This window comes from Homo sapiens, chromosome 8 (assembly GCF_000001405.40).
Source record: "Homo sapiens chromosome 8, GRCh38.p14 Primary Assembly".
In the NCBI taxonomy this organism is placed as follows: domain Eukaryota; kingdom Metazoa; phylum Chordata; class Mammalia; order Primates; family Hominidae; genus Homo; species Homo sapiens.
The window spans coordinates 25,871,161-25,885,112 of NC_000008.11; the positions used below are offsets into that span (position 1 = coordinate 25,871,161).

The 13,952-nt window shown below is 42.8% G+C and overlaps 1 protein-coding gene and 1 long non-coding RNA gene across 2 annotated transcripts in view; one reads left to right on the plus strand and one right to left on the minus strand.

Moving 5' to 3' along the window:
- The window catches only part of EBF2 (EBF transcription factor 2), a 203,689-nt gene that overhangs the window by 29,436 nt on the left and 160,301 nt on the right, over positions 1-13,952 (minus strand). The window lies entirely within an intron of this gene.
- On the plus strand, positions 6,598-7,291 carry LOC124901914 (uncharacterized). Its single transcript, XR_007060863.1, has 3 exons — positions 6,598-6,712; positions 7,034-7,095; positions 7,230-7,291. It is a non-coding gene; the product is annotated as an uncharacterized LOC124901914 (long non-coding RNA).

Consider the following 13,952-nt stretch of genomic DNA (forward strand, 5'->3'; position numbering starts at 1 on the left):
CCTCCCTCCCCCTCCCTACTTCCCTGGGCGTTCTCTGGCTTTTCAGTCCTGGTATGAGCCAAGCAAAGCTCAATTAGCTAATGAGGTGCCCAAGACCAGCACCAAGACTGTCTCCAAGGGCCAACCAGGCCATTAACTGCCATCATCAGTGTTAATTTACAACCTTGCCTACCACATGGAGTGCGGGGATGCTGTGAAGTTCTGCCAACCTTTTGGCTGACAGGGATACAGAGAAGTGCTGGCAAGGCAAAAACAGAGTAAATTAAAAATATGCTTCAATCTATAGGCTCTATTTATCTATGTCTTTCTTTAGTAATATAACATTAAGGTAAAAGGTCATAGCCCCACTGAAATATAATTTATATTTACCTTTTATTAAATAATTATGGCATGGCATGAAGTTAAATATTACAGAAGCTAATCAAGAGGGAATTCAAGAGAGAAAACTCAGACATGAGAATTTCGTCTTTGCTATACATAGAATGTCTTAATCCTCCACTGGGAGTCATTCGGGTTTGCTTAAGGAGTTTAATAATACACATTTCAACTGCCACAGAATCTAAATCCCATTTGGATCAGCCTTGAAAAACTTTCATCAATACCTTGAGATTTCATAATATTTCTCTTGAGAGCCTGGATCTCATGTGCCATTTCTCATTTTGATTGCGGGTATAATATATGAGATTACTTACATATATCTTGGACCCAATAAATAAATATAAACTATAAGCAATATGTGAATGGTTTCTTTTTTAAAGTAAATAGTATTTAACTAAAAATATCTACTGGGAACCACTCTTTAAAAAAAAAAAAGCTGGCTGGTGCTCAATATTAATTTTCCCAAAGGATTAGTGCGATATAAAATTCTATATGGTTTTAATTTTCTTTCCTTAAGAGGAGGCACAGGGAGCAGATAATGCTTACCCCATCTTATACTTCTACTTCTGTTTCACAAAAATGAAGGGGACACTGGCTAACATGGAAAGGGGGCTCTTTGTTAGAACCCTGTTCAGCCCTTAACAATTACAGCCTTGACACTGCAGGCTGGAGGTCATTTATGCTCTTGACCAGCAGGAGCACTGATTGCAAAGATGGCAACATCAAGGCCTGGTTGCTTTTTTTAAAAAAAATGTGAGAGAAGATGATGATGAGTGAGGCAAGATCTGAGTTCTCAATTGGCTGCCACTCTGGGGATGTTGGCGGATCACACTGCTGGCCTCGGTTGCAGCTTTACTCACCAGTGAGTCTTCCCTTGGATCCTAGGATTACCATGGAATCTGTAAATGGTCATCAGGAGGCCAATAAAAGTAGAAATTCTAAGCCTAGCCATGTGTTTGTGCATCTGTGCATTATCTGCAGAAAGGGAGCTTCACTTCATCAGATGTGCACACAGCCCATGGTCTCCTAAGGGTGACAGCCCACAGAACTAGAGGATCACTACAGTCCTAACTCTAAATTCCAACTTTCTTCAAGAATAAGGAAAACCACTGAAAGGTTTTCTTTGCATTGTAAGAAAGCAAACAACAACAACAACAACAACAACAACAACAACAAACCCTTAAATCTATATAATGTGACTGCCATATAAACACAAGACCAGAAGACAGACACTGACTGGCAATGGAAGAGAAAACATGCTTTAACAATACCTGCCACGTGGCTTTGGCCAAGGAGAATTACTCTCTGTTGACAGCGTAGGAAGGCATGAAACACAATCTGGCTTTGGGAGGAATTTAGATAACACAGACGAGCTCCTGCCCTCGTGCCACTTTAGGACGTCTCTGTCCTCTTTCCTTACATAGTACTTTCTTCCCACATGTTCATTCCCACAAAGTCTGTCTTCCATGTGCTAGGATTTGGGTTCCCTTCTCTCTCCCTCGTCCTTCCCCTTCCAATTTCCTTGTCTATTTGTCTCCCTTCTGCCCTATTCCTCATGTGTCCAACATGCAAAGGCTACGTTAAATTCACACTTAAATGCTAAGTTTTTCATTGCATATGATGGTGTGATGGGATAAAGCTGGTCCTAGCTTGGGAGCTGCCTTAGTTCCCAACACTAACAAATGACACAACCTTCATCAGGTCACTTGGCCAGGTGAGGCTTTGGTTTATTTCTCTGTGAAGACAAAGGATTGGGGTAAATGGCTTCTAAGACCCCTTTCAAGCTCTTACATTTTATGATTCTAAGGCTATCACTGATTTGGAGCAGTGGCTTTCTTCTCTGAGGAGTAGAGGGTGGAGCTGAAGTCAAGGCTGTTGAATTAAGTTGTCTTTAACCTTGGCTACATTGAAATCTCTCCCCACATCCATTTGTTTTAATGTAGCAAAAGTTCAGTGTCACCAATTTAAAAACAAAAAGGAACAAAGATAATATAGGAACACATTATTAAGAGGCGGTACCTGCCTTTGTGGACACAGGAACAAGAATACGAGGAGAGAACCAACAGTGCACAAGTGAAAGATTAGACTGAAGCCTCTGATATTTAATTTTAAATGAAATATTAATTTAATATTTAATTACACTTTGGTTTCCAGAAAAACTGCAGCAGCAAGACAGATTGTTTGAAGAAGGGAATAATATACATGGTTAAGGAGACAACTGTAAAAATTAAAGATAAATTTCAAGGGTAAATCTAAATGCCACAATGGAGCAGTTATAAATACACTCTTGCTCTCTGTAATGTGTATTTAGAATATTATAGCCGAGTGTGCCAATCCATTAAGGGGCTGGGATGTCTCTAGTGAAACAGCAGCCCCCTATTCTGGGGCTAACAACGGAGACATCATTTCTCAGACTCAGCTGAATGATGTATCTGAATTTCACAAGAGGTGGGAGTGGAGACAACTTCAGTAAAAGTGCAGGCTACCAGGGGGGCTATTGACTCAACCTGTCTCCAGTTTGAACAAGGAATAGTTGTACTTGGGCCAGTTTCTGATGTCTGAATTGGGTATTTTTAACTAAAAATCAGATTCATTTCTTCAATGGGAATTTTTTTTTCCAGGATAACGCTATATGGGGAAAAAAAATGCGAAGTGGATGAGCTATTAACATTTGAAATCCAGTTTGCACATCTGTGCAGCACAGCTTTATGAAGGCAGGCCCCACAATTCACACACAGCCTTGGGGAGGAGGCTGTTCAGGGTATGATTTGGGGGTGTGTGGAAAAACCTCGGCCTCTGATTTTTCCTCCCAGCTGCTGCCTGTTCTTGCCTTAATCCTGTCGATGAATACTTTCTCCCAAATAATGAACAGAAAAAAAAAATTGTTTTTTTGCCAAAGTAGAAGATAAGAAGTATTCTGGGAGAGGGGGTTAGTTAGCATGAATTATCTGGTTTCTTGGTGCATCTCAACTAGCAGGTTGTCTATGTAGACCTCTAAGTTCTCTTGCACACCTTGTCAAGCACCTACTCTGCATGTACCTGGGCCAGCTGGGACACAGTCAATCTCTTCTGCTCCTTTGGTCCACCTTTTATTTTTTATTTATTTATTTTTTTCTTACAAGAACTTCTGGGTTCTTTTAAAAAATTATTTATTTATTTATTTAAGAAACAAGGTTTCCCTCTGTCGCCCAGGCTGGAGTACAGTAGTGCAATCATAGCTCACTGCAGCCTCGATCTCCTGGGCTCAAGCGTTTCTCCCACCTTGGGCTCCCAAGAGCTGGGACTACAAGCCCATGCCCCACCAGCCTGGCTAACTTTTTTTTTTTTTTTTTTTTTTTGGAGATGGGATCTTGCCTGGGTTGGTCTCAAACTCCTGGCCTCAAGTGATCCTCTGGCCTCAGCCTCCCAAAGTACTGGAATTTCAGGGGGGAACCATGGTGCCTGGCTTCTACCTTTTAATACCTGCTTCCTTGTGACCCCCTGTCCCTCTCCTGCAAAGGCCATGTTCTTGGGCTCCCTTGGCCTTCTCTGTCTCCTGCAAAAACCTGATTTCTAATCTAGATCGAGATATTCAGGGCATGATGTGGTAGGTCTTTCAAGATGAATCCACATTTTCCAGAAGACAGACAAAGAAGCCCTGTGCTGGTCCAACAGCAAAGAGGGAGGACGCTCCCCAGAGCTGCATGTATCCTCCCACCAGATGCTTACAACAGTGAATTGTGCTTGTGCTTTTATATTTATATACATAAATACCTTTGCATATGTATGTAATTTTATCTTTCTAATGGGGTAAGTATATCCTCATTTTTAGGTTAGAAAAATGGCACAAAGAAAAGTTGCTTTTCCTGAAAGTTGGAATGCAAATCCCTGCCTCTTCACTCTGTCATCAGCTCTCTTCTATACAACAGACTGCCCCAGCGCCAGGTTCTCTCAAGCTTAATAAAAATGTGGAGTTCATATTTCTTTGCCTCCTGCAACTTCAGTTATTTGTAGAGAGGATAATTTCTATGATTTCTAAAGAATTCAAGGAACTTCACAGGCTCTGAGTGTAGCACATCATACTGACTGGAGCCTCCCCTTCATAACTCCTGCTTTTTGAGTCTTCTAGAAAGTTCCACCTAAGAGCAAGCATTACTATTGTGTTCACAGTGAAAGGACCCAGTCTCATAAGAACCTTCCCAAGGGTAGAGTGCTTTATAAGCCAAAAAGTCTCTGCAACAGCCTCATAAGCAGAACTTAGGCCTCACAAACTCATTTCTTTGTTTAAAATATACATTCCCTAAATTAGTTCAACCACTGTGGAAGACAGTGTGGTGATTCTTCAAGGATCTAGAACCAGAACTGCCATTTGACTTAGGAATTCCATGACTAGGTATATACCCAAAGGAATATAAATCATTCTATTATAAAGATACATGCACGCGTATGTTTGTTGAAGCATGTTCACAAAAGCAAAGACTTGGAACCAACCCAAATACCCATCAATGATAGACTGGATAATAAAAATGTGGTATATATACACTGTGGAATACTATGCAGCCATAAAAAGGAATGAGAGCATGTCATATTTGCAGGGACATGGATGAAGCTGGAAGCCATTATGCTCAGCGAACTAACATGGGAACACAAAACCAAACACCGCATGTTCTCACTCATAAGTGGGAGCTGAACAATGAGAACACATGGACACAGGGAGGGGAACAACACACACTGTCGGTGGGTTGGGGGCAGGGAGAGGAAGAGCATCAGGACAAATAGCTAATGCATGCAGGGCTTAATAGCTAGGTGATGGGTCGATCTGTGCTGCAAACCATCATGGCACATGTATACCTATGTAACAAATCTGCACGTCCTGCACGTGTATCCCAGAACTTAAAGTAAAATAAAACTTAAAATATAAAAATAAAAAATAAAATAAAATACACATTCTCAGACCCTCTCAGGAGAGTAGCAAGAAATATTCCCATATTGCAATCTGAAAACCAGGGCCCAGGTAAGGCGTCTTCTGAGACCCCCTTCATGCTCACCAGCCACGGCCTATTTCCTGTGCACCTCTCCAGAGTAACAGCCCAAGAGCCAAGGCATCATCTGCCAAGTAAAACAAGACAAGACCAAACAGATGGCCTTGGTATCGTGTTTTGTAATAAACTGTACAGTACTGGGAAGTAGTACAGGTTAGGTGTTAAGAGCAGAACTTTGGAATAAGACATCTAGGATTCATCATACCTTGGTGACCTTAGGCAAGTGACTTAATTTCTCTAAGTAGCAGGATCTCAGCTATGAAGTTGAGATCCTCATAGAACTGTCATCACAGATAAAGGTGGTGATACTCGGAGCCTGTAGGACAGAGCCTTGCCTTACGTGCTTAATAGATGACAGATGTGATTACTGAACTGCTGTCATTTTTGCTTGTTATTCTGTCTTATGATAGAACTTATAAAAGACTTCTTAACCAGCTGTCTAATGTGTAGTCCAGGTTCTGCAAAGAACCACAGGAACAATAGTGAAAAGCTGTGCTCATTTACCCCCATGTCCTCACACACTGTGTTTTGCCCTGGATTCTGTGGTTGGTGCAGATTTTACAATTAGAGACAATGACAATTCCACCCCTAAATACCATGCTCTGATATCCTCTCCCTGCATACTCACTGCCACCTGAAGTCAAGACAGCCAAGAAGTCCCTGAACAACCAGTCACTGTGGTTCTGTTGGGTGCCCCTACTAGGATTATTTTTCTGCATTGCCAGTTCTCTCTGGAAGTCTGCGCGGAAGACAGAGGATCTCTTCTCCTCTCCTCTCCGCCTAGGCTAGCATACCTCCTCCAGGTCTCAAACCAGTAAGAGGCAACTGGACTTTCCCTAATGAGCCCTGTTCTCACGTGGCTCTCTCAATTGCGCAGAAGCAAGTTGCACGTTAGCAAACCACGGTTGGTGGAAAATTGACCTGCAAAGTCACATGTGCAAAGAAAATGTGTTATTTTTCAGAGCCCCGATGTTGTTTGTGCTGTGGTTGGCAGTGGCAACCATGGGGGTCTGGCTAATTAACCAGGTACACCTAATAATGGGCTTGGCTCTGTCATGGTGGTGCATCCTTGGATACAGAAAATGTCAACAGTTGGACTATGGACCACAGAGTGTGTGCAGTGGGACAGGGGTGGAAGGAGGAAAGGTTCTCTGGAGTCTCCCGCAGGACTCTCCTTCTAGAAAGTTCTACATAAGAGTAAACACTACTATTGTGTTCCTGGTGAACGGACCCAGTCTCGTAAGAACCCTCCCACGGGTGGAGTGCTTTATAGGCCAGAAAGCCTCTCCAACAGCCTCAGGAGCAGAACTCAGGTTTCTCAAACTCATTTCTTTGTTTAAAATACAGATTCCCAGACCCTGTCCGAAGAGCATGATTTGGCATTGTCTGGAATGGTGCCAAGCATAATTCTTATGATCAGCCAAATTAGGGAAACACCTTTGGGTAACAGCATAATTGGCACCAGAGCTTTACAGATGATGGAAATGAGGCTCAGAGAGGTCAGTGACCGGATGAAAGTACACACAAGCAGTGGACCACACGGCCAGCCCCCAAAGGCAGTGCTTCCGGCTGGTCCTCCTCTCGGGACCCGTCCTGCTCACAGCACTCACTCTGCACCTTTTAAAACCCTCTAGGTTTCAAGTTTTGCCTTTTCCTCCAGAACCAGAATGACTTTTTGTCCACCTTGCCATTGGAGGTGAGTGGTTTGTCTAGGCCTATAGCAGCCTAGGAGCACTGTCCTGCAGTGAAGCACTCCAGGCGTCCAGAGTGCGTGGGTCAGTGCTTCAGGGTGGCTGGAAAGACAGGAGGGCTTTGTCTTTCTCCTCCTAGGGAAGAGGCCATGGCTCTCCAGGTGACCAGAGTGAGGACTCAGCTCTGAGGTGGAACAGCCCATCAGCAGGTGCCTGTGGAAGCCACTGATAGTGGATGAAGACGAAATTGGCTTTTCATGTCAGTAGCTGCCAATTCAATGGGAAAGACAGGAGGCCACCAACCTATTTCCTGTGGGCTCTAGAACCCTCCATGGATGACATCAGCTTCCTGTCTCCACCAACCCAAGTGGTACTTCGCTCAGTAACCTCGGGGTGGAAGTTTTTCTAGAAAGTGGCCAGACTCCTGAGCCATCCTTGATAGCATTTGTAATTTTGGATGATGCTATCCTTGATAGCATTTCTTCTTTATTTGTGAATGAACAAGGATGATCCAGCCATCCTTGATAGCATTTCTTCTTTATTTGTGAATGAACAAACTCCTGAGTCCCTCCCCTCCTCACTCCGACTGCCCCCGAAGGCCCTTCCTTCTCAAAGGCAGTTTCTGGAAGAAGCACCACCAACTATCAGGCTGGAAATACTTTGTACCTGAAAAATCAAGTTTACTAATGTGCACTGTTTCAGTATTTAAACGTGTGATGCTATATTGTGCCATACTTTATTCTTTAAATTTTAAATTTTAAATTATTTAATTTTATTAGATACAAGTAAGCAACATGAAAAAAATTTAAATAACAACAACACTGAGAAACCACCATTGTTAATACCTTGGCATGCAGGATTCTGTACCCTACTAGGGTTGTTTGTAAAACTACTCATTTTTCATATATCTAAACATTGGGTCATATCATGCAGACTATTTTAAAGCTCCTTTAAAACCCATATCACAGATGCCTTTCATGTAAATAAATATCCATCCATGGCATTATTTTTAATGTCTCTAAAAAAGTGTAGAAGATGTTCCATTATTTGTTTAATGAATCCCCTAATGTACAATGAGGATATTTTCAATTTTTCACTATAATAAACTCCCATGAACGGTCTTCCAGCAAACTCAATTATTTCCTAGGCAGACATTTCTAGAAGTAGAATTGCTGGGTCAAAGGGCACATACATCTTCAGGTGTTCTCTTATCAAATTTACATTCCTGCAGTAGTATCTTAGATAGTTATGACACCTACCCATCTCCTTATAGCTCCATCACCCATGTCCAGGGGTGTCTTTGAAACACTAGAGATACCAGAAGCTCTACATGCAGAAAGTGTCCTGGAAAAAGACCCACTCTCCAACTGACTTCAGGGACAGCCCACTCTCCTGGTTTCCTCCTACCCTGACCACTCCTTCTCAGACTCCTTCCCAGGTTCCTTCTGTCAACTTTAATCCTGCATGCTGGTGTTCCCAAGGTGCCATATCTCCACTCTTTCATGGCGATCTCATCTGGTCCTATGGCTTTAAATCCTGTCTAGAGTATCCTGCAGTAGTATCTTAGAAAGTCTCCATTGTCTTTGAATCTTGCCAACCTGAGTATTTTCATTTGTTTAAAAGAAAATCTCTGTCAACTTGATAGGGAAAAAAAGGTGATCTTGTTGCCTTAATTTGCATTTATTTATTAGTGCAGTTGGGACTTTTTATTATAATAGGTTTCTTTGTTTACTAGTCTTCCTTCCTGAATTTAACTCTTGATGTTCATTGCTAGCTTTCTATTTGGATATTTGTCTTTTCCTCTTCAATTTCTAAGATACCTAACGTTCTCCTCTTTTTCCACAATGTATAACATAGCAGTTAACAAACAGTAGGCACAAAATAAATTTTTGCTGAATAAAGGAATAAGTCTTTTTATACTTAAGATAATAGGCCACGTAGAGCAAATATGTGGTCTCAGTTTGTCCTTTTCCCTTTAATGCCTGGCATATTGACACACAAACATTTTCCTTTTACGTAATCACATCTTTTGCTTGATGGTGCCTGTCTTTGGCCTCAATGTTCACAAGTCTCAAAATGATAATTATTCTTTAAACCTGTAATCTTCTGAAATGTCTACATTTTTAATAAAAATATTTAATTTGAATACAGTTTAGTTTATATGCTATGAAATTTAAAATCTAACTTTTTCTTTTAATGCCTAACTAGTTGGCCCAACACATTTGTTAAGCATTCCATCTTTTCTGCGTTGACCTGACCTGGCTTCCCTCACCTACTAATACCTAAGTATTTATACCCTTAATGTGTGCAAAGTGTTTGTTTTTTAAATGTTCTCTTCTGTTGCATGACATTTCTATATGTTCCTACAAAGCCCCATATTCTTTTAATTATTGAAACTTAAAATAGGTTTTAATGTCTGGCAGGGCAAGGGCCTCTCATTTTTCAAAATCCTCTTTTAGCACCTTTCCTTCCCAGGTGAACTTTTGTAAAGTTTTCCCAAACATTTTGTTGCTATTTTGATTGGCACTGTGTTAAATGTATTCATTAATCGACATCTTTACAATATTAAATCTTCCCACCTCTCCACCAGCTGGAAGTATTTTGTCCTTCCTCTGAACTCCCTTAGCACGTTATATCTTAAAAAAAAATCACTTTCTAAACTATACCCACCCAATTTTTCAACTCTGAAACATGAGTGTCGTCCCCTCCTTCCCCTCCCCAACCTTCACCCCATCCAATCAATCATCAAGTTGTGTCAATGTTACCTCCTAAATTTTATCCACTTCTGCCTGTCCCCACCACCAGCACTCTGCTCCAAGCTACCATCATTTCTGGCCTGGGCCACCCCACTGGCCTCCAAGTGACCTCCCTGCATCCAACCTGGCTTCCAAGCCATCCTCTGCATTGTAGCCAGAATGATCTTTTAAAAGGCAAATCTGATGGTGGCAATATTCCCAAAGCTTCCCATGGCGCTTGAGGAAGAGCTGAAAAAAAACAAGCCTTAATGTGACCTGGCCCCTGCCCACCTTTGCAGCTTGAACACAGCCTCTCTTAAACTCATTCCTTCTGCTCTGTTCATAAAATATATCCCATGTTCTTGTCTACCCCAGGGTCTTTGCACATACTGTTTTGTCTATTCTAAATCCTCCCCATCAACTCAGTTTAAGGAGGTTCAATTCCCCTGGCATATGTTCCCAGCATCCTAAACAACTCCTTTTAGTCCTCATCAGGTTTGCAATTCCTTGTTTAAGTCAGTCTCCATACTGATAAGGCTAATGGTAATGACACAGAAGTGCTGGGAAGGGAAGGGCGTGGTACCTTTAAATGATATGGAAGTGGGGAAGGGAAGTGCTGGGTAGAGGAAGGCCTGGTCCCTGGCTAGGGCTCCACCCCTTGGCCTGTGCCCATGGACCTAAGTTAGGACAGGCATTTTTGTTTACCTGCCCAAATGTTGCATTTCCCAAGACCACCCTGGCCTGTCATGCCCCCATCCTGTGCCTATAAAAACCCCGAGACCCTGGAAGGCAGACACACATCAGCGGAGGAACACCTGGGTGGCTGGACATCCAGAGGAACGCACCGACAGGCACCGGCGGGCCACTGACCGGCAGAACGACACAGAATGTGGCTGGGGCAGTTGGAGGAGAACCTGGGCTGCCGAGAGGCCCGGGGAAAACCATCTCCCTTCTGGCTCCCTTATCTGCTGAGAACTACCTCCTCTCGATAAAACCTTGCACTCATTCTCCAAGCCCAGGTGTGATCCAATTCTTCTGGTACACCAAAGCAAGAACCCTGGAATATGAAAGCCCTCTGTCCTTGTGATAAGGCAGGGGTCTAATTGAGCTGAGTAACACAAGCCGCCTACGGAAGGCTAAACTAAAAGAGCACCTGTAACACACACCCACTGGGGCTTCAGCTGTAAAATTTACCCCTAGACACTGCTATGGGGTCAGAGCCCCACAGCCTGCCCGTCTGCATGCTCCCCTAGAGGTCTGAACAGTGAGGCACTGAAGAAGCGAGCCACAGCCCCGTCGCATGCCCTGCGAGGGGAACAAGGGGACTTTTCCCATTTCAGTAATAATAAGAATAATATAAATAATAAACCACTTTTTGACTAATAAGATATGGGCCATTCTATCCACTCTCTATCCCAGGTGCTTTCCATGAAGAGACCTGGCTGTACCAGCTTGTGAAGGCAGGTGGTGAAGTTTTCAGGAACGTTGTGAGCTACTTGAGTGGTAGCTTGAAATCTGCCATGGTGAGAGTATTTGACCGTGGAAATCAGTAAATGGTATAAACCCATGATTTAAAAAAGAAAATCTGCTTCTTCCTGAAGAGCCAGTTGTTAAACCTTTGCCAGCCCACCACAGTTGCCAGGCACTGTATCATTTAGTCCTCAGCTCTGTAGGTAGCCCATTTTATAGATGGGGGAAAAGGAGGTTAAGTCACTTCCCCAAGATTCAAGAACAATTCAGAAGGCAAGCCACACTATGAGTCCAGGTATCTAATTCCAGAGCATGAGCAGTTAGTGTTTATGTCAGTGCATTGTAATGTCAGGAAGGTGGGAGACACTGGTTTGACTTGTCTCCAATAGCCTGAGCATAGAGCTCAATGTTGAGCACAGAGTGCACTGCTCAATAAATACACACGTCATGCAAAAGTCGTTAATGTCTCAGCACATGAAGAAAACAGAGATATTTTACGACTTGCTAAAGGAGCATCAGAAAGACACCAGGCAGGATGGCCAGAGGCCTGCATCTTTGTTCTAATGCCATCTTTAATTCAACAGGCAATTACTAGCAAATCACTTCTGCTTAGGTTTCAGTTTTCTCTTCTGGAAAAGGAGGACTTTGACTAGTTAATCTTCATATTCCCTTAATCTCTAAAATTATTTGAATTTACATGTAACATAACATCTGTTATTTTCACAGGTGTATAGGCTCCCCTTTTGCTAGGTACTGTGTTTCCAAGATCTGTCAACCACAGCCTCCTCATTCTGTCTGGCAAATTCCTATTTCGCTTCAAAAATGTCAGCTATTGCTACCTCCTCTGGGAAGCCTTCCCTGATTCCCCAAAGCTAGTCACTCCCTGCATAGTGCCCCTATAACCCTTTTTTATTTTAGGGGCTGAATCTAGTTATTGTAATGTAACTGTAGCCATCTCCCTTTTTTTTTTTTTTAACTTCTGTCATCTCCCATTCTAGAACTGTAAGCTGATAGAGGTGTACTGATATTATTGATTTTGTGTGTTTAGAGCACGTGTTTGTTGAGTAAATAAATGGGTGACACTTCTACCTTCAGAAATCCATATCTAATTGGTCTGGGGTTTGACCTAGGCACTGATAATTTAAAGTGTGGCCAAGGGTGAGGACCTCTTTTACACATGCACACACACGTACACAACACCTGGTTCCAAATGTCTACATCAATTGCGCTACTGATTGAGATTGTTCTTTACTTCAATAGAGAGTTCAGGATTGGCTGCAATGTGTTTGTTATGATACCTACTCATCTCCTTATAGGCCAGCTCCATCACCCACATCCAGGGGTGTCTTTGAAACAACAGAGATACCAGAAGCTCTACATGTAAACAGTGTCCTGGAACAAGACCCGCTATCCAACTGACCTCAGGGACAGCACACGCTTCTGGCTTCTTCTTACCCTGACCACTCCTTCTCAGGATCCTTCCCAGGTTCCTCCTGTCATCTTTAATCCTGCATGCTGGTGTTCCCAAGGCACCATATTTGGACTTCTCCACCATATCATGGTGATCTCCTCTGGTCCTGTGGCTTTAAATCCTGTCTAGATGCTGGTTGCTCCTCTGCTCAACATCTTCCACGTCTTCCCATCCAAAGTCCTTGCCCTGCCTGACTTTCCAACCTCATCTCCCATCACTCTCTTCCCCACTGACTCCACTCCAGCCATACTGGCATTCTTGCTCTTCCCCAACAGCACCAGGCTCCCTCCCACTTGTAATCTTGCTGTACCCTCTACCTGGGACAACCACCTCCCCCACCCCCAGATTCATGGACTGCCAGGCACTGCTCCAGTGAACACCAGTGAACCAAACAGAAAACCCAGCCCAAGGGAGCTCCTGCGATGGAGGAGGGAATGTGGATGGAGAGGAGAGGAGGATGGAGAAAGAAGGAGAGAAGAGGGGATGGATCTCCACAGCTGGCGCCATCCTGGGATTCAGGTCTTCGCTCCATGTCCCCTCTTCAGAGAGGCCTCCCTAACCAGCCTGCCCAACCCTCCCTCACTCTCCTTCCCTTACTTCTCACTATCTGAAATTATATCACTTATTTTCTCTCTTGTCTGTCTTCCCCTCTATAATACAAGCTTTATGAAGTTGGGGGACTTTACCTTCCTCCCTTCTATACCCGTGAGCTTAGAGCTGTGCCAGCCCATGGCAGGCAGGTCATAAATACTAGTTTGAATGAATGAATGAACTATATCCCTTTGGAGCTGGAACAGTAACTTTTTTATTGTGACTGCAATAGAATCTCCCATAGAACCACAGAAAATAACACCTGAGATGTGCTTATCTCAGGACAGAAAATTCAAAGGCTAAATTTTGAATAAATAGACCCAAAAATTACCTCTTTCCATCTACTGCTAATTGATAGCTAGCCAGACATTGACACTTTAACAAGAGTAGGAATCAGAGCGCAAATGAGAGACTACACTATCTATAAAATAATATTATTAAAAATTTATAATATGCCTGCTATATTTTCTTGGTTTATATATTTCTTTCTCTATACTCTTTATTTTCTCTGTCAAAGTATAATACCTCATTGATCTTCCTGCTTCTGGTTGTTCCTCAGTTAACTCAGTCTTTATATTAACACCATTTCTTTTTT